Source organism: Homo sapiens, chromosome 16, assembly GCF_000001405.40.
Source record: "Homo sapiens chromosome 16, GRCh38.p14 Primary Assembly".
NCBI classification, from domain to species: Eukaryota; Metazoa; Chordata; class Mammalia; order Primates; family Hominidae; genus Homo; species Homo sapiens.
Window position 1 is genome coordinate 24,590,061 of NC_000016.10, and position 19,927 is coordinate 24,609,987.

General features: G+C 40.5%; 1 pseudogene; it reads right to left on the reverse strand.

The window, feature by feature from the left end:
* Positions 1 to 16,785: 16,785 nt before the first annotated feature.
* Positions 16,786 to 17,368, reverse strand: LOC107984829 (acyl-CoA-binding domain-containing protein 7-like; annotated as a pseudogene).
* Between the last annotated feature and the right edge of the window lie 2,559 nt (positions 17,369 to 19,927).

Here is a 19,927-nt window from a genome sequence, read left to right on the forward strand (position 1 = left end):
GCTTTCTGACACGTTAATTAATTGGCATTTTCTGGACATTACTGTGCATGGACTCATATAGTTTGTACACTTTTTTTTGTCTGCTTTCTTTCAGTATAATTATTTTGAAATTCATGCTGTGACATGTACCATTCCTGTTTCCTGTTATTGCTGACTAGAATGTTTTGCTTGTGTTGTTCATCCATTCACTTGACAATGAACATTTGAGTTGTTTCCATTTGGGGGTATTACAAATAAAACTGTAAACATTTATATAAAAATCATTTTGTGAATATATACTTTCATTTCTCATGGGTAAATACCTAGGAATGAAATTAATGCATCATATTTTAGGTGTCTGTTTAACATTTTGAGAAACTGCCCAACTGTTTTCTAAAGTGGCTATGTTACATTTCCATCAGCAGCTTGTGAGAGTTCAAGTTGTTCCACATCTCGGGGGGAGGGGGGAAGGATAGCGTTAGGAGATATACCTAATGTTAAATGACAAGTTGATGGGTGCAGCACACCAATATGGCACATGTATACATATGTAACTAACCTGCACGTTGTGCACATGTACCCTAAAACTTAAAGTATAATAAAAAAATAAAAATAAAAAAATAAAAGAAGAGAAAAAAAAACAGTTGTTCCACATCTCGTCAACACATGATATGGTCAGTTTTTAAAGTTTTAGCCATAACCACAGTAATGTCTGATGGTGGTTTTAATTTGCATTTTCTGCTGAGCACTTTTTCCTGTGCCATTTGCCATTCGTATGTCTTCTTTAGCGAAATATCTGTTCCAATCTTTTTGCCCAATTTTAAGTTGGATTATATCTATCTATCTATCTATATATATAGTTATATATATCTATATATAGAGTTGTATATATCTGGATATATATGGTTATATATATCTATATATAGTTGTATATATCTAGATATATGTGGTTATATATCTAGATATATATATAGTTGTTGTTTGTTTGTTTGTTTGTTTTGGTTTTGTTGTTGTTGTTGTTGGTTGAGACAGAGTCTCGCTCTGTCATCCAGACTGGAGTGCAGTGGTGGGATCTCGGCTCACTGCAACCTTCGCCTCCTGGGTTCAAGCAATTCTCCTGCCTCAGCCTCCCAAGTAGTTGGGATTACAGGCGCACACCACCACGCCCAGCTAATTTTTTTTTATTTTTAGTAGAGACCGGATTTCACCATGTTGGCCAGGCTGGTTTCCAACTCCTGACCTCAAGTAATCCGCCCGTCTCCGCCTCTCAAAGTGCTAGTATTACAGACGTGAGCCACCGTGCCCGGCCCCCAGATTGTTAACGTATTTTGCAACTTCTTTATATGTTCTGGATACGAGTCCTTTATCAAGCACATGATATGTAAATATTTTCTTCTAGTCTGGCTTGTTTTCATTCATTCAACATGTCTTTTGAAGACCAGAAGTTTTTTATTTCAATGAAGTCCAATTTATATGTTGACTCTTTTAAATATTGTGCTTTTGGTGTTGTTTCTAAAAAATCTTAGTCTAAGCCAAGATCATAAAGATTAGTCTTATGTTTTCTTCTAAAAAGTTTTGTGACTTTAAGTTCTACACTTAGATCTATAGTCCACTTTTAAGTACAGCTTTATTGAGATATATTTCACATACCATAAAATTCACATATTTAAAGTGCGCCATTCCGTGATTTTAAGTATATTCAAAGAGTTGTACACTCATCACCACTATCTAACTTCGGAAGACTTTTGTCACCCCAAAAAGGCACCTCATATCCATTAGCAGTCATCCCTTATTACTTCCTTACTTCAGTTTAGGCAACCAATAATTTTCTCTCTCTATGGATTTGCTTATTCTGGACATTTCATATAATTGGAATCATAGATCTGGTCTTCTGTGTCTGGATTCTTTCACTTAGCATAATGTTTCCAAGGTTCATTGTGTTATGCATGCATCAGTGCTTAAATCCTTTTTTTTTTTTTTTTTTTTTTTTTTTTTGAGACAGAACTTGCTGTGTCACCCAGGCTGGAGGGCAGTGGCATGTTCATAGCTTACTACAACCTTGAACTCCTGGGCTCAAGTCATCCTCCCACCTCGGCCTCCCAAAGTGCTGGGATTACAGACATGAGCCACCATGCCTGGCAAGCCATGCCATTTTACATTCTCACCAGCAGTGTATGAGAGTTCCAATTTCTTCATACCACCTCCAACACTTGTTATGGCCCATTTTTTTATTACAGCCATCCTAGTGAATGTAAAGTGATATCTCATAGTGGTTTTAATTTGCATTTCCTTAATGAATGATAATATTGAGCATCTTTTGTTGTTGTAACCATTGAGATAGGGTCTCGCTTTGTCACCTAGGCTGGAGTGCTGTGGCACAAACACAGCTCACTGCCGCCTCCATGTCCTGGGCTCAAGCGATCTTATTACATCAGCACTCCAAGTAGCTGGAACTGCAAGCATGTGCCACCACACCTGACTACTTTTTTGTTTTTTGTTTTTTGTTTTTGTTTTTGAGTTGGAGTTTTGCTCTTGTCGCCCAGGCTGGAGTGCAGCAGCACGATCTCAGCTCACTGCAAATTCCACCTCCCAGGTTCAAGAGATTCTCGTGCCTCAGCCTCCCAAGTAGCTGGGATTACAGGTGTGTACCACCATGCCTGGCTAATTTTTGTGTATGTGTATTTATTTATTTATTTATTTATTTATTTTTGAGACAGAGTTTTGCTCTTGTTGCCCAGTCTGGAGTGCAATAGCCAGGTCTCAGCTCACTGCAAACTCCACCTCCTGGGTTCAAGCGATCCTCCTTCCTCAGCCTCCCAAGTATCTGGGACTATAGGCATGCACACCCATGCCTGGCAAATTTTGTATTTTTACTGGAGACAGGGTTTCACCATGCTGGCCAGACTGGTCTCAAACTCCTGACCTCAAATTATCCGCCTGCCTCGGCCTCCTAAAGTGCTGGGATTATAGGCATGAGCCATCACACCCGGCCTTAAATGTGTTTTTATTTGGCAGAAATGTCTCTTCAAATCCTCTACCCATTTTTAAATTGGGTTATTTGTCTATTTCATATTGAATTATAAGTGTTCTTTTTATGTAGTCCGGATAAGAGTCCCTTATCAGATGTATGATTTGCAAATATTTTCTCCCATTTTGCGGGTTGTCTTTTTACCTCTATGATGTCCTTTGAAGCACAAGCATATTTACTTTTGATGATGTCCAATTTGTTTTTTTTCCTTTGTCACTTGTGCTTTTGGTTTCACGTCTAAAATTCCATTGCCTAGTCCAAGGTCATGAAGATCTACTCCTTCATTTTCTTCCAATAATTTTATAGTTTTAGCTCTTACATTTAGGTCTATGATGCATTTTGGGTTTTGTTTGTTTGTTTGTTTTGTTTGCTTGTTTTGTTTTTTGAGACAGAGTCTCACTCTGTCGCCCAGGCTGGAGTGCAGTGGCGCGATCTCGGCTCATTGCCACTACCACCTCCCGGGTTCAAGCGATTCTCGTGCCTTAGCCTCCCAAGTAGCTGGGATTACAGGCACACACCACCTTGCCGGGCTAATTTTTTTATTTTTGGTAGAGACGGTTTCACCATGTTGGCCAGGCTGGTCTCGAATTCTTGAGTTCAAAGTGATCTGCCCAGCTCGGCCTCCCAAAGTGCTGGGATTACAGGCGTGAGCCACCATGCCTGGCCTATGATGCATTTTGGGTTGACTTTTGCAGATGGTATGAAATAGGGGTTCAGCTTCCCTCTTTTGCATGTAGATGTTCACTTGTCCCAGGACCATTTGATGAAAGACTACTATTTTCCCACTGAATCTTGACACCTTCTTTAAAATCAATTGATCATATATAGATGTAAGTGTTTATGTCTGGATTCTTAATTATACTATTTATGTGTGTATATATATATATATAAAATAAGGCCAGGCACAGTGGCTAACACCTGTAATCCCAGCACTTTGGGAGGCCGAGGCGAGAGGATCACTGGAAGACTAGCTTGAGCAACATAGCAAGACCCCGTCTCTAAAAAAAACATAAAATATATATCCTTATATATTTTTACTCTTATATCCTGAGGACATGTGTGTGTGTGTGTGCATGCGTGTGCATGTGTATATATATGTGTGTGTGTGTGTATATATATATATCTTTATCCTTACGCTAGTACCACAATGTATTTTTATAGTAAGTTTTGAAATCAGGAATGGGAGTCCTCCAACGTTGTTCTTTTTAAAGATTGTTTTGGCTATTCTGGGTTCCTTGCATATCCATATGAATTTTCAGATCAGCTTGCCCATTTCTCAAATTCTAAAAAAAAATAAGCAACTGTAATTATTATTATATTTTTAGAGACAGTCCTGCTCTGCCCCCCAGGCTGGAGTGCGGTGGCCTGATCTCAACTCACTGCAACTTCCGCCTCCAAGGTTCAAGCGATTCTCTTGCCTCAGCCTCCCAAGTAGCTGGGATTTCAGGCGCCCACCACCACGCCTGGCTAATAGTTTTGGATTTTTTGAAGAGACAGGGTTTTGCCATGTTTGCCAGGCTGGTCTCAAACTCCTGACCTCAAGTGATCCACCTGCCTCCCAAAGTGCTGGGATTACAGGCATGAGCCACTGTACCTGGCCGCAACTGTGATTTTGATAAGAATAGCATTGAATCTGTAGATTGCTTTAGGTAGTATTGTCCTTTTAATAATAATAAATCTTCAATTATTTAGAAGAATTTATTCAGATCTTCTTTAACTTCTTTCAACAGTACTTTGTTTTCAGTGTACAAGTTTTATACATTCCTGGTTAAATTTATTCTTACGTATTTTATTCTTTTTGATGCTATTATAAATTGAATGGCTTTCTTAATTTTATTTTTGGTTGTTCATTACTAAGGGATGGAAATACAGTAGATGTTTGCATATTGATCTCGTATTCTGCAACTTCGCTAAACTTGCTTATTTTGTCCGGTAGTTTCTTTTGTGGATTCCTTGGGATTTCTGTAAATAAGTTCATGTCATCTAGAAATAGTGATGGTGTATTTCTTCCTTTTCAATCTGGATACCTCTTTTTTTCTTGCCTAATTTTTCTGGCTAGAACCCTAAATACAGTATTCAATAGAAGTAGCCAGGGGCGGAAGTTCTTGTCTTATTCCTGATTTTAGGGGAAAAGCATTTAGTCTTTCATGATTAAGTAGCACTTTTTCCACAAATGACTTTTCTCAGGCTGAGGAAGTTTCTTTCTGTTCCTAGTGTGTTGAGTGGTTTTATCAGGAAAGGGTGTTGAAATTGGTGAAATGCTTTTTCTGCATCTATTGATATTATCATGTGGGTTTTACTCCTTATTTTATTAATATGACATATTACATTGGTTTATTTTCTATGTTAAGCCAACTTCGCATTCCCGGAATAAATTTCACTTGGTCATGGTATATAATTCTTTTTATATATTACTGAATTCAGTTTGCTAGTATTTTACTTAGGATTTTCTTCATGTATACGGGATACTGATCTATAGGGTTTCTTTTATTATAATGTCTTTTTTTTTTTTTTTTTTGAGATAGGGACTCAGTCTGTTGCCCAGGCTGGAGTACAGTGGTATGAAAACAGCTCACTGCAGACTCAATCTCCTAGGCTCAAGTGATCCTCCTGTCTCAGCCTCTTAAGTAGCTGGGGCTGCAGGGGTGCACCACCACACCCAGCTAATAAAAAAAAAACTTTTTTTTTTTTTTTGTAAAGATAGAGTCTTGCCATGTTGCCCGGGCTGGTCTCAAACTCCTGGCCTTAAACAATCCACCTTCTTTGGTCTCCCAAAATACCAGGATTGCAGGCATGAGCCACGGTGCCTGGCCTCTAATAATGTCTTTGCCTGGTTTTAGTATCAGAGTAATATTGGTCTCATAACATGAGTTTGGAAGTGTCCCTATAATCCATTTTGAGTTAATTTTTGCGTAATGGATTTAAGTTTTGGGGTTTTTTGGCATATGTATATGTATTGTTTAGTACCATTTCTTGAAAAAGACTATACTTTCTCCACTGATTCCCTTCACAATTTTGTTAGGAATCAATTGATGATATTTATGTGGGTTTATTTCTGTACTGTCTATTCTGTTCCTTTATTTTTGTATCTGTCTGTCCACCAATACCACACTACCTTGATTACTGTAGCTTTTTCCTTCAATGTCAGTCTTATTCAAAGTTTTGAACACAAACATTAGCCAGGGGTGGTGCACATGCCTGTACTCCCAGCTACTTGGGAGGCTGAGGTGGGAGGATCGATTGAGCCCAAGAGGTCAAGCCTGCAGTGACCTGTGATCACGCCACTGCACTCCAGCCTGGGTGACAGAGCAAGACCCGGCCTAAAAAAAAAAAGCTTTTTTCCCCCACACTATTCTACATCCTCTACATTTTCATGAATTTTAGAATCAACTTCTCAAATTCTATGTTTTAGTAAAATATGTATAACATAAGATCTAGCATTTTAGCCATTTTTAGATGAACCATTCAGCGGCATTAACTACATTCAAACTTATGTGCAACCATCACCAGAACTTTTTAATCATCCCAAACTAAAACCCTACACCCATTAAATAACAACTTCACGCCCTCCCCTCTTCCCAGAGCCCATCAATCACCATTCTATTTTCTGTCTCTGTGAACTTGACTACTCTCGTGCCTCCTAAAAGTGGAATCACACAATATTTGTCATTTTGTGGCTGACTTAATTCACTTAGTGTAATGCCTTCAAGGGTTATCCATGTTGTAGCATTTGCCAGAATTTTCCTCCATTTTAATATTGCATAATAATATGTGAGTATACCACTTTTTTGTTGTTGTTTGGTTGTTTTTGTTTGTTTTTGTTTTTTCTTTTGAGACGGAGTCTCGCTCTGTTGCACAGGCTGGAGTGTAGTGGTGCGATCTTGGCTCACTGCAACCTCTGCCTCCCAGGTTCAAGTGATCCTCCTGCCTCAGCTCCCGAGTAGCTGGGATTACAGGCACCTGCCACCACACCTGGCTAATTTATGTATTTTCAGTAGAGACGGGGTTTCACCATGTTGGTCAGGCTAGTCTCGAACTCCTGACCTCAGGTGATTCGCCTGTCTTGGCCTTCCAAAGTACTGGGATTACAGGTATGAGCCACTGAGCCCAGCCGATACCACATTTTGCTTATCAAATCATCTGTGGATGGATATTTGGGTTATTTTCACCTTTGGGCTATTACGAATAATGCTGCTATGAACATTGGTGTACCCAACTTCTCCATTTTTTTTTTTTTTTTTTCTGAGACGGAGTCTCGCTCTGTCACCCAGGCTGGAGTGCAGTGGCGCGATCTTGGCTCACTGCAACCTCCGCCTCCCAGGTTCAAGCAATTCTCCTGCCTTGGCCTCCTGAGTAGCTGGGATTACAGGTATGCACCACCACAGCCAGCTAATTTTTGAATTTTTAGTACTCACAGGGTTTCACCATGTTAGCCAGGCTGGTCCCGAACTCCTGACCTCAGGTGAGCCACCCACTTCGGCCTCCCAAAGTGCTGTGATTACAGGCATGAGCCACTGCGCCCGGCCCAACGTCTCCATTTTTACAGAAAAAAATGCCAGCTGGGATTTTGACTGGGATTTTGACTGGGATTGTATTGAGTCGATAGATCAGTTTGGTAGAGAATTGACATCTTAATACTGAGCCTCCCAACACGTAAACCCATGTCTCTTTCCATTTACTTAGGTATTCTTTCATTTCTCTCAATGATGTTTTGTAGTTTTCAGTGTACACGGCTGACACATTTTTTTGTCAGATTTATCCTCAAGTTTTTCACGCTATTGTAAAGGGTATTTCTTAAGATTTTTATTTCTGACTGTTGCTAGCAGAGAGAAATACAGTAGAATTTGGAAACTGGGGTTATATCCTGAAACCTCACTAAACTCACATATTAACTCTTTCATAGGATTTTCTACATAAATGATCATGTCACCTGCAAAGACAATCTTGCTTCTTTCTTTCTAAACTGAATGCCTTTTATTTGCTTTTTTTCCCCTTACCTAATGGCCCTGGCTAGAACCTACAGTACAATGTTGAATAGTATTGGTGAGAGCAGACATCCTTGTCTTGTTCCTGATCTTAGGGGGAGAGCTTTCAGTCTTTTACCATTAAATATGATGTTAGCTGTATATTTTTTTTATAAATGCCCTTTATCAGGTTGATGAAGTTCCCTTCTATTCCCAGTTTGTTAAGAGTTATTATCAGAAATGAACATTTGATTTTGCCAATTTTTTTCAGCATCTATTGAGATATTTATGTGGTTTTTCTTTACTAGTTTATTATTATGTGTATTACATTAATTGAACATTAAACCAACCCTATTTGCTGGGCAAATTCCGCTTGGCCATTGCGCATCAGCCTCCTCATTCACTGTTAAATTTGATTTGCTACAATTTTGTTAAGAATTTATTCATCTAAGTTCAAGAGGGATGTTACTCTGTGGTTACGTTCTTTGTGCTGTCTTTGTCTGGACTTGGTATCAGAGTAACGCTGGCCTCACAGAATCAGCTGAGAAAAATTCCTTCCTCTTCAATTTTCTAGAAGAGCTTGTGTTGAATTAAAATTAATTTTTCCTTAATGATTTGATAGAATTCCTGAGTGAAGTCATCTGGCTCTCCAGTTTTCTTTGTTGAAAAGATCTAAGCTATGATTTCAAGTTCTTTAAGAGAAATATATACTTTCCAGGTTATCTTTTCTTGAGTGATGTTTAGTATTTGCGTCTTTCCAGGAATGTATCTATTTCATCTAAGTTGTCAAATTTACTGGCATAAACTTGTTCATAATATTCTCTGGTTATCCTTTTTAATGTCTATAGAATCTGGAATAATGTTATCTCTCTCATTCTGATATTGGTAATTTGTTCATTCGTTTGTTTGTTTGTTTGAGATGGAGTCTCGCTCTGTCGCCCCGTGATCTCAGCTCACTGCAACCTCCAACTCCCAGGTTCAAGCAATTCTCTTGCCTAAGCCTCCTGAGTAGCTGGTATTACAGGTGCCTGCCACCATGCCTGGCTAATTTTTCTATTTTTAGTAGAGACGGGGTTTCACCATGTTGCCCAGGTTGATCTCAAACTGCTGGCCTCAGGTGTTTCACCCGCCTCGGCCTCCCAGAGTGCTGGGATTACAGGCAGGAGCCACTGCACTTGGCCTCTGATATTGGTAATTTGTGTTTTCTCTTTTTTTCCTGATCAATATGGCTAGAGGTTTGTGAATTTTATTGATCTGAAAGCTTCTAATATTAGCTTCTGATATTTCTGCATTTTTCAGTTTTCCATTTCATTCATTTCTATTCTGGTTTTTATAATTTCCTTTATTCTCTTTGTTTTCTTTGTGATTTTGCTCTCTTTTTAGTTTCTTAAGGTAATAGCTGATGTTATTGTGATTTTTCTTTTCTAAGAAGGTATTTAAAATTATAAATTTCCATTTAAATACTGTTTTAGCTTCATCCAACAAATTTTTATATGTTTGTGTTTTTATTTTCTTTCGGTTAAAAATTCTAATGTCCCTTTTAATTTCTCCTTTGACCCATGGGTTATTTAGAAGTGTATTATTTAGTTTCCAAATATTTGTGGATTTTTCAGTTATCTTTCTGTTATTGATGTCTAATTTAACACCATTTTGGTCAGAAAAGATACTCTGTATGGTTTGAATCCATTTAAGTTTATTTGGATTTATTCTCATTCTCCCCGATTTAATCTAGGAGGGTTGTATGTTTCCAGGAATTTATCCATCTCCTCTAGGTTTTCTAGTTTGTGCGTGCAAAGGTGTTCATAGTAGCCTTGAATGATCTTTTGTATTTCTGTGGTGTCTGTTGTAATATCTCCCGTTTCATTTCTAATTGAGCTTATTTGGATTTTCTCCCTTCTTTTCTTGGTTAATCTTGCTAATGGTCTATCAATTTTATTTATCTTTTCAAAGAAACCACTTTTTGTTTCATTTATCTTTTGTATTTTTTGTTTGTTTGTTTCAATTTCATTTAGTTCTGCTCTGATCTTGGTTATTTCCTTTCTTCTGCTAGGTTTGGGTTTGGTTTGTTCTTGTTTCTCTAGTTCCTTGAGGTGTGACCTTAGATTGTCTATTTGTGCTCTTTCAGACTTTTTTGATGTAGGCATTTAGGGCTATGAACTTTCCTCTTAGCACTGCTTTTGCTGTATCCCGCAGGTGTTGATATGTTGTGTCACTATTATCATTCAGTTTGAAGAATTTTTAAATTTCCATCTTGATTTCATTGTGACCCAATGCTCATTCAGGAGCAGGTTATTTAATTTCCATGTAATTGCACGGTGTTGAAGATTCCTTTTAAAGTTGATTTCCAGTTTCAGATCCACTGTGGTCTGAGTGCTTGATATAATTTTAATTTTCTTAAATTTATTGAGATTTATTTATGACTGAGACTATGGTTTATTCTGGTAAATGTTCTATGTGCACTTGAAAAGAATATATATTCTGCAGTTGTATGAAGCGTTCCATAAATCTCAATTAGGTCAAATTTGTTCAAGTGTTGTTCAAGTCGTCTGTATCCTTGCTTATTTTCTGTCTAGTTGTTCTATTAATTATCAAAAGAGGGATGTTGAAATATCTGCTTATAATAGTAGATTTGTCTGTTTCTCCTTGCTGTTCAATCAATTCTGCTTCCTGTATTTCAAAGCTTTCTTATTTGATGAATATGTTTTATATTTAAAGTGGGTTTCTTGTAGCATATAGTTGATTGTTGCGTTTTCATTCTATCTGACAAACTCTGTTTTTGAGTGGGGTGTTCAAGCCATTTACATTTAATGTGATTATTAATATGAAAGGGTTTAAATGATCTGTTATTTGTTCCACTTTTTTCTTTTTTTCTGCTTTCTTTTGGGTAAAGTGAATATTTTTATTATGCCATTTCATTTTTTATTGGCTTACTAGCTGTCGCTCTTGATTGCATTATTTTAGTGGTTGCTTTAGGGTTTAGAGTATACACCTTTAACCTATCACCGTCTACATTCAAGCAGTAGTATTCCACTACACGTGTACTTAGTATAAGAATCTTATAACAGTATACTTCCATTTCTTTTCTCCTGCTCTTGGTCTTTGTGCTGTTTTTTGTCAAGAAGCTTACTTTATATTATAAACCCCACAAAACATTATCATTTTTGCTTTAATTTTTTTTTTTTCCCCAGACAGAGTCTAGCTCTGTTGCCAGGCTGGAGTGCAGTGGCACGATCTCAGCTCACTGCAACCTCTGCCTCCCAGTTTCAAGCGATTCTCTTGCCTCAGCTTCCCGACTAGCTGTGATTACAGGCATGCGCTGCCATGCCCAGCTAATTTTTTTTTTTTTAAATAGAGACAGGGTTTCACCGTGTTGGCCAGGATGGTCTCGATCTCCTGACCTTGTGATCCACCCACCTCGGCCTCCCAAAGTGCTGGGATTACAGGCATGAGCCACCGCGCCTGGCCCTAAATGGTTTTTTTTTTAAGAGAGTTAAAGAATAAGAAACAAAGTCTGTATATTTACCCATACAGTTGCCATTTCTTGTGCTTGTCATTTTCTTACATAGATCTAGATCTCTGCTTAGTATCATTTTTCTCTGCCTGAACATTTTTTATGGTGTGGATTTGCTGGTGATAAATTCTTTCAACTTTTGTATGGCTAAAAAGTTTTCATTTTTCCTTCATTTTTGAAAAATGTTTTGCTAGTTACAGAATTGTAAGTTGACATTTTTCTTTCTTTTAAAAAAAAATTCTTAAGATACAGGGTCTTGCTCTGTTGCCCAGGCTGGAATGCAGTGGCACAATCATGGCTCACTGCAGCCTCAACCTCCTGGGTTCCAGCAATCCTCCTGCTTCAGCCTCTCCAATAGCTTGGATTACAGGTGCATGCCACCATGTCCAGCTAAATTTTTTTCTTTTGGTACTTTAAAGATGTTCCATTGTCCTCTCTCTTGTGTTGGTTCAAATAAAAATTTTCTGCCATCTTTATCTTTCTTCCTCTGTATGTAAAATGTTTCCCTCCATTGTTTTCTATTTTTCTTTGCTTTTTAATAAAATCTTTATTGAGATATAATTTACATACCATACAATTCAAACATTAAAGTTGTACAGTTGTATGTTGCCCAGGCTCGAGGGCAGTGGTACAATCATAGCTCATTGCAGCCTCAACCTCCTGGACTCAAGTGATCCTCCTACCTCAGTCTCCCAAGTAGCTGGGACTACATTCATGCACCATCACACCGGGCTAATTTTTTTTTTTTTTTTTTTTTTTTTTTTGTAGAGATGGGTTTTCTCTACCATGTTGTCCCGGCTGGTCTCAAACTTTTGAGTTCAAGTGATCCTCCCACCTCAGCCTCCCAAAGTGCTGGGATTACAGGCATGAGCCACTGCACCTGGCCTTTTATTATTATTTTTTTTTCTTTTGATACAGGATCTCACTCTTGTCACCCAGACTGGAATGCAGTGGCGCCAACACAGTTCACTTTCAGTCTCGAACTCCTGGGCTCAAGCAATCCTCCCACCTTAGTCTCCCGAGTAGCTGGGACTATAGGCACATGCTGCCACATCCAGGTAATTTTTAGGTTTTTTGTAGAGACAGGGGTTTTACCATGTTGCGTAGGCTGGCCTCAAACTTCTGAGTTCTAGTGATCCTCCTACCTCAGCCTCCCAAAGTGCTGAGATTACAGGCGGGAGTCACTGCGCCTGGCCAAAGTGTTTTTTGTTTTGTTTTGTTTTGTTTTTGGTTTGAGATGGAGTTTCACTCTTGTTAACCAAGCTGGAGTACAATGGCATGATCTCAGCTCACTGCAACCGCCGCCTCCCGGGTTCAAGAGATTCTCCTGCCTCTGCCTCTTGAATAGCTGGGGTTACAAGTGCGTGCCACCATGCCCGGCTAATTTTTTGTATTTTTAGTAGAAATGGGGTTTCACCATGTTAGCCAGGCTGATCTCGAACTCCTAACCTCAGGTGATCCACCTGCCTTGGCCTCCCAAAGTGCTGGGATTATAGGCATGAGCCACCGCACCTGGCCCAAAGTTTGTTTTTAAAGTTTGTTTGGCTGGACTAGAGTTGGGTTTAGTCTAGGACTATTTTGGTCCCACCACGGAGGTAAAACACTTCTGAGTATCCTACCTGATAGATGCTGTGTGAATTATGAAGCTTTGCATTCTAGGGTAATGGGCAAAAATTACTCCTGGCCATATGTGGCCCTCTAATCCTTTTGGTCAGGTCTTTTTCTAACATGCGTGTCATGATCTGTACTCCACTGAAGACTTGAGGGACATCTCTGCAGATCTTGATCTCTGTGCGGCTCTCTCCTCTCCAGTACCTGCCCTACAAACTCTGTCTTCCTTGGCCTCCCTGGACTCCCTGCTCTGTCTCCTCATCTCAGGGGGAACACCAGCCTCAGTTTGAAGTCCACCTCTCTGCACTGCAATTTGGAAACTTCCTCTAGGCAGTAATATGGGGCAATCATAGAGCTCACCTGGTTTGTTTCCCTTCTCTCATATATCCCTGCCCTTTGTTATCTGATGTCCAATGTCTTAAATACTGTTGTTGTTGTTGTTGTTGTTGTCGTTGTTGTTGTTGTTGTTGTTGTTTTGGGACAAAGTCTCTCTCTGTCGCCCAGGCTGGAGTGCAGTGGCGCAATCTCAGCTCACTGCAGCCTCCGTCTCCCGGGTTTAAGCAATTCTCCTGCCTCAGCCTCCCAAGTAGCTGGGACTGCAGGCAAAGTCACCATACATGGCTAATTTTTTGTATTTTTAATAGAGACGAGGTTTCACCAGGCTGGTCTCGAACTCCTGACCTCAAGTGATCTGCCCGCCTCAGCCTCCCAAAGTGCTGGGATTAGAGGTGTGAGCCACCATGCCCGGCCAAAACTGTTGTTTTATATATTTTATCTTGTTTGTTGTTGTTTCAGGGAAAAGAGTATACCCAGTTTCTGTTATGTCATCTTAATTGGAAGCAAAAGGCACTGCTTCTTTCTAAAAAGTTAAGCATAAAGTTTTATTAATAATCTCCATCCAATTATTTTATTATATGAAATTTATAGGAGTCTAATCCTGCACTTTCTTCTGTCTCCTAGTGCTTTGTAATTTATAACATGTTTTATAATTTTGGATTATAAACTCATCTGCAATGGGAACATAATCTGTGGGAACTCTGTGAGGTCTGGGCTTAGTGAACTTACCTCTAGATCACTTTTATATTTGCCTCTCTGAGGCTCCTCTCTTTCTATGTTATTTCTTATTTTTGGTATTCCAGGGCCATAAAAGTAATGTATGTTCAGACATCAAAACCACTTGAGAACAGGCCTTGGTTATTAATTATCATGGGAGTATTTTTTTTGCCTTGACCCAGAATTCAGGTCAAGTCACACAAGCTTCCGTGTTTCTCTGGGCTTAAAGGTGATCTTTTTTTGTTTGTTTGTTTCACCATGTATTAGTTAGGGTTCTCCAAAGAAGTAGAATCAGCATGAGAGAAAGAGATTGATTTATCCTGAGGAATTGGCTCATGCAATTATAGAGGCTCTGAAGTCTCACAAGTCTGCTCTCTGCAAGCTGGAGATCCAGGGAAACTTGGGGTGTAATTTGGTCCAAGTCTGAAAGCTTAAGAACCAGGGTAGCCAATGGTGTAAATCCCAGTCCAGAGGCTGGACAAGATGAGATGAGGTGTTCCAGCTCAAGAAGGCAGGCAGGAAGCAAAAGGGGAAATTTCCTCCTTCTTCCACCTCCTTCCTCCACCACAGATAACCCTTTTGTTCCATTGAGATTGAATGATTTCCACCCACATTGAAGTGGGCAATGTTCTCTACTGAGTCCATCCACTGAAATGTTAATCTCATCCAGAAACATTCTCACAGACACATCTAGAAATAATGTTTAATCTGGGCACCCCGTGGCTAGTCAATGTGACACATAAAATTTACCACCATGCACATTTTCACTGAGGATACAGCACTTTTAAGAGTCCCAAGCTGATGTGGAAGTTTCCACTCCCAGGCACAAGACTTTGTCTCCTGTACCTGCTTGGAGTTGCAACCCAGCCTCCCAAGGCTGCCATGTCCCTGCCAAGCACTAAATCCCCAGGGTGGATACAGCGTTAACTCGTATGCCTAGCTCTCTAGTTTTCTGGGGTTTTTTCTTCCCTTTTTAAAAATTATTATTATTAATTTTTTTAGATGGTCTCGCTGTGTCTCCCAGGTTGGAGTGCAGCGGCATGATCTCTGCTCACTGCAACCTCTGCCTTCCCCCGTTTCAAGCAATTCTCTTGCCTCAGCCTCCTGAGTAGCTGATATTACAGGCACATGCCATCACACCTGGCATTTTTGTAATTTTAGTAGAGATGGGGTTTTGCCATGTTGGCCAGGCTGGTCTCGAACTCCTGGCCTCAAGTGATCTCCCCACCTTGGCCTCCCAAAGTGCTGGGATTACAGATGTGAGCCACTGTACCTGGCCCTTTTTTTAAATTAATAACCTGTTTTTATTATACCAGTAACACCAACTCCTTGTAGGAGAACAGATGAGCCAAAAGAAGAAATAATTGTTAAAGTCTGTGTACATACTACCAGGGCAAGACTTTCTAAATAGTCAAAAACCAACAGATGTTGGCGAGGATGCGGAAAAAAGGGAACGCTCACACACTATTGGTGGGAATGCAAATCAGTACAACCTCTATGACAAACAGCATGGAGATTTCACAAAGAACGAAAAATAGAACTATCATTCTACCCAGCAATCCCACCACTGGGTATCCACCCAAAGGAAAAGAAATCGTTGTATCCAAAAGATACCTGCACTTGTATGCCTATCACAGCACAGTTCACAATAACAAAGACCTGGAATCAATCCAATGTCCATCCATGGGTGACTGGATAAAGAAAAGATGGTACATGATGGGATACCAGTCAGACATAAAAAAAGAATAAAATCATGTTTGATTTTATTTATTTATTTATTTGATTTTATGTATCCACATGGGTGGAACTGGAGGCCATTATTTTAAGTGCAAATAACTCAGAAACAGAAAGTCAAACACCACCCATTCCCACTTACAAGTGGGAGTTAAACAGTGTGTACACAGGATCATGGAGTGTGGAATAAGAGACACTGAAGACTTGAAAAGGTGGGAGGGTGGGAGGGGCTGAGGAATGAGAAATTACCTTTTGGGTACAATGTACACTATTTGGGTGATGGGCACACTAAAAGCCCAGACTGCCACTATATAATATATCCACGTGACAAAACTACACTTGTACCCCCTAAATCTACAAAAATAAAAAATCAAATACTTTTCTAAAAGAACATTTAAGGACACCTGGTTTAAGCAAGCACAATTTAGTGAACTATGTAGTTTCAGCATACTCCTGTTACTACAATTCTTGCTAATAGCAAATATATACATGATACCTAGAGTGAACAGTGCCTCTCTCCCTCTAAATGTTAGGTCATGAGAGCATTATCAAGGCTTCAAAAGGAAAACTTTCTCATACACTGTATTCTTTTTTGAGACAGAGTCTTGCTTTGTTGCCCAGGCTGGAGTGCAGTGATGCCATCTCGGCTCACTGCAGCCTCCGCGTCCCGGGTTCAAGTGATTCTTGTGCCTCAGCCTCACAAGTAACTGGGATTACGGGCATGCACCATGGCCGGCTAATTTTTATATTTTTGGTAGAGACGGGGTTTCACCATGCTGCCCAGGCTGGTCTCAAACTCGACCTCAAGTGATCCGCCCACTTTGGCCTCCCAAAGTTTTGGGATTACAGGTGTGAGTCACTGCAACTGGCTGGAAAAATTTCTCATACACTGTATTCTAAATGTCCTATTTTTCTATCGGCTCTTTTGCCTTAGAAATAGAGACACTCGTTGCATCTTCCTTTGACAACCTTTTTTGGAGGGTCCATGCTGCGCATTTGGCCTTGCCCTTTAAAGTCCAGCATTCCCAGATACTCAATATTAATGTCTCCAATTATAGCTTGTTTGTAAAGTCCATCGAGTTTTTTCAGTTCTTTATTATCTGCTTTTTTTTTTTTTTTTTTTTTTTTTTTTTTTTTTTTTTTGAGATGGAGTCTCGCTCTGTCCCCCAGGCTGGAGTGCAGTGGCACGATCTCGGCTCACTGCAACTTCTGCCTGCCGGGTTCAAGCGATTCGGCTGCCTCAGCCTCCCGTGTAGCTGGGATTACAGGCGCCCGCCACCACCTGCGGCTAATTTTTGCATTTTCAGTAGAGACGGGGTTTCGCCATGTTGGCCAAGCTCGAACTCCTGACCTCAGATGATCCACCCACCTCAGCCTCCCAAAGTGTTGGGATTACAGGCGTAAGCCACTGCGCCCGACCCCTCATCTGGTCTTGTTGGCAGCTTCCTCACGTCTTCTGCAGCCTTGTCGATCAGCCTGCAGTGCCATGGTGGTGGCGGCCGCACTGCTGCTTCTGTCCCGGCACTCCCTTCTTTCTTTCTGAGGGCTCAGCTACACACTTAAAAGAATGTTGGTTATTTTATCCAGAATTTCTTTATGATTATTTTGTCTTTCATATTTGGTCCCCCATATTGTCAGAAATGGAATGTTTCCAGTTACTTCTTTTTTGTTTTTTGTTTGTTTGTTTGTTTTGGAGAGAGGGTCTCGCTATGCTGCCCAGGCTGATCTGGAACTCCCGGGTCCAAGTGCTCCTTCTGCCTCAGTCTCCTGGAGTAGCTGGGACTATGGGCTTGCACCACTGTGCATGATTAAGATTACTTCTTAACCTATTATCATCAGACTTGCACCTCCACAGCTTTACAGATGCTGTTCTTCAAAAACCATTGGTAACTGGAGCAACTGCCAAATTCCATGGGTGCTGTTTCAGTTAGGATGAGCTCCAATCACAAGTGATGAAATACAAAAAATCAACCATAAAGATGCTTGATTTTTCTAACATAGGTGGTCCCAGGGTCAGTTTGGCAACTCACTTCTATTGAGAACTTATGTTTTTCTGTCCTTCCACTCTGCCATCCCCAGAATGTCAGTGAAGATTTTTCACCTCATCGTCACATGATGGCTGCCTCCCATGACTACATCAGAGGAGCAAAAGGTGGGCCAGGCACAGTGGCTGAGAGAGGTCTGTAAGGAAGAAGTCCTTTTTGCTTGCCACCTTTTGCTACTTTTTGCTACTTTGCTACTTTTTTTTTTTTTTTTTCATCTCATCACTTTCAAATAAACTCAGACACCTGGGTGACTTTTCTCTGCTTCAGATTTACAATAAGTCAAGTTAAAGATTTTTTTTTCTTGTTGCCTTTCTTCTCCCTACCATTGATACTAAGATCTGATGCTCACTCGAATAATCAAAGAAGTAAACAAATTGTGCAGAGTTTGTTTGTTTGTTTTTAGACAGAGTCTTGCTCTGTTGCCCAGGTTGGAGTGCAGCTGCACGATCTCAGCTCACTGCAACCTCTGCCTCCCGAGTTCAAGAGATTCTCCTGCCTCAGCCTCCTGAGTAGCTGGGATTACAGTTAGCCAAGATTGTGCCACTGCACTCCAGCCTGGGCAACAGAGCGAGACTCCGTCAAAACAAAACAAAACAAAAACACCACAATTCTTCTTTGCTCAAAAAGGCCCCCACCTGCAGAGTGCCAGCAAATCATACTATCTATCTACAAAGGAAAGCAGTCTGCACAATTTGTTTACTTGTTTGATTATTCGAGTGAGCATCAGTGCTTAGTATCAATAGTAGGGAGAAGAAAGAAAGGCAACAAGAAAAAAAAATCTTTAACTTGACTTACTGTAAATCTGAAGCAGAGAAAAGTCACCCAGGTGTCTGAGTTTATTTGAAAGTGATGAGATGCAGTTTCCTATATTGGGCAGAATAGGGGAGTGGGGCGGGAGGTAGAAGTGAAGTTCAGGTTTAGACAAATAGAGGATTCACATCTTTGCACACTTGAGTTTGTGTGACTCTGGAATTTTGCATCTGCCAGATCTGTTTATGATTCTGTTGCCTTTAACAGACGACAGGCACCTCAAGAACAGAGATGTGGCTTTATGCATTTCTTTAACATGTCTTCCCTCCCTTCCATCTTTCTCAGTGCCTAGTACGAGACCTGCAGCATGTTAGGTGCTCTACAAAAATATTTGTTTAATAAAAGATCGAGTGAATGAAAACATGAGCAAAGGAGGTTACTACAATGGGAAGAAACAAACTTAACCGATTTTTTTTTTTTTTGAGACAGAATCTTGCTCTGCAACCTCCACCTCTGGGTTCAAGCAATTCTCCTGCCTCAGCCTCTCAAGTAGCTGCGATTACAGGTGTGTGCCACCATGCCCAGCTAATTTTTTATATTTTTAGTAGAGATGGGGTTTCACCATGTTGGCCAGGCTGGTCTTAGAACTCCTGACCTCAGGTGATCCACTCACCTTGGCCTCCCAAAATGCTGGGATTACAGGTGTAAGCCACTGCACCCCGCCAAACCCAGCTGATTTTTCAGTCGATTTAACTGTATCCTCATTAAGGGAAGAAATGGAGAGATGTACATATGTATGAGAGAGAGAGACAGAGAGAGAGAGAGAGAGAGACAGAGAGAGAGAGAGACAGAGAGAGAGAGAGAGAGAGAGACAGAAGGGAAATATCTGCAGAGAGAACAGAGCTATGATCACTAAGTAGAACAGAGGCAGCCTAATCGCCTAATCAGATACCCAGTCGGGGCCCCACCTGACTCCTACTGCAGCTGGGGGGTGGAGGGACTAGAAGGTTCAGCTGGAGTGGTCTCCCCTTCTGCAGCTCCAGTCTCCCCACCTCCAACCCCCACTGCCACTGCCCCGTGAGGAGGCTTGGAAGCTGTGGGGAGGGGAGGCAGCCGAGTTGGGCTTCTAGAACGAGGCGGGATGGTGTGAGCTCAAACGCCCTGCAATTGCTGGAGCAACAGCGGCGACACTTGAGTTATTCACAAAGGCTGGAATTCAAATGAGGCTGGCACCGCTCCAAGTCGCAATAGC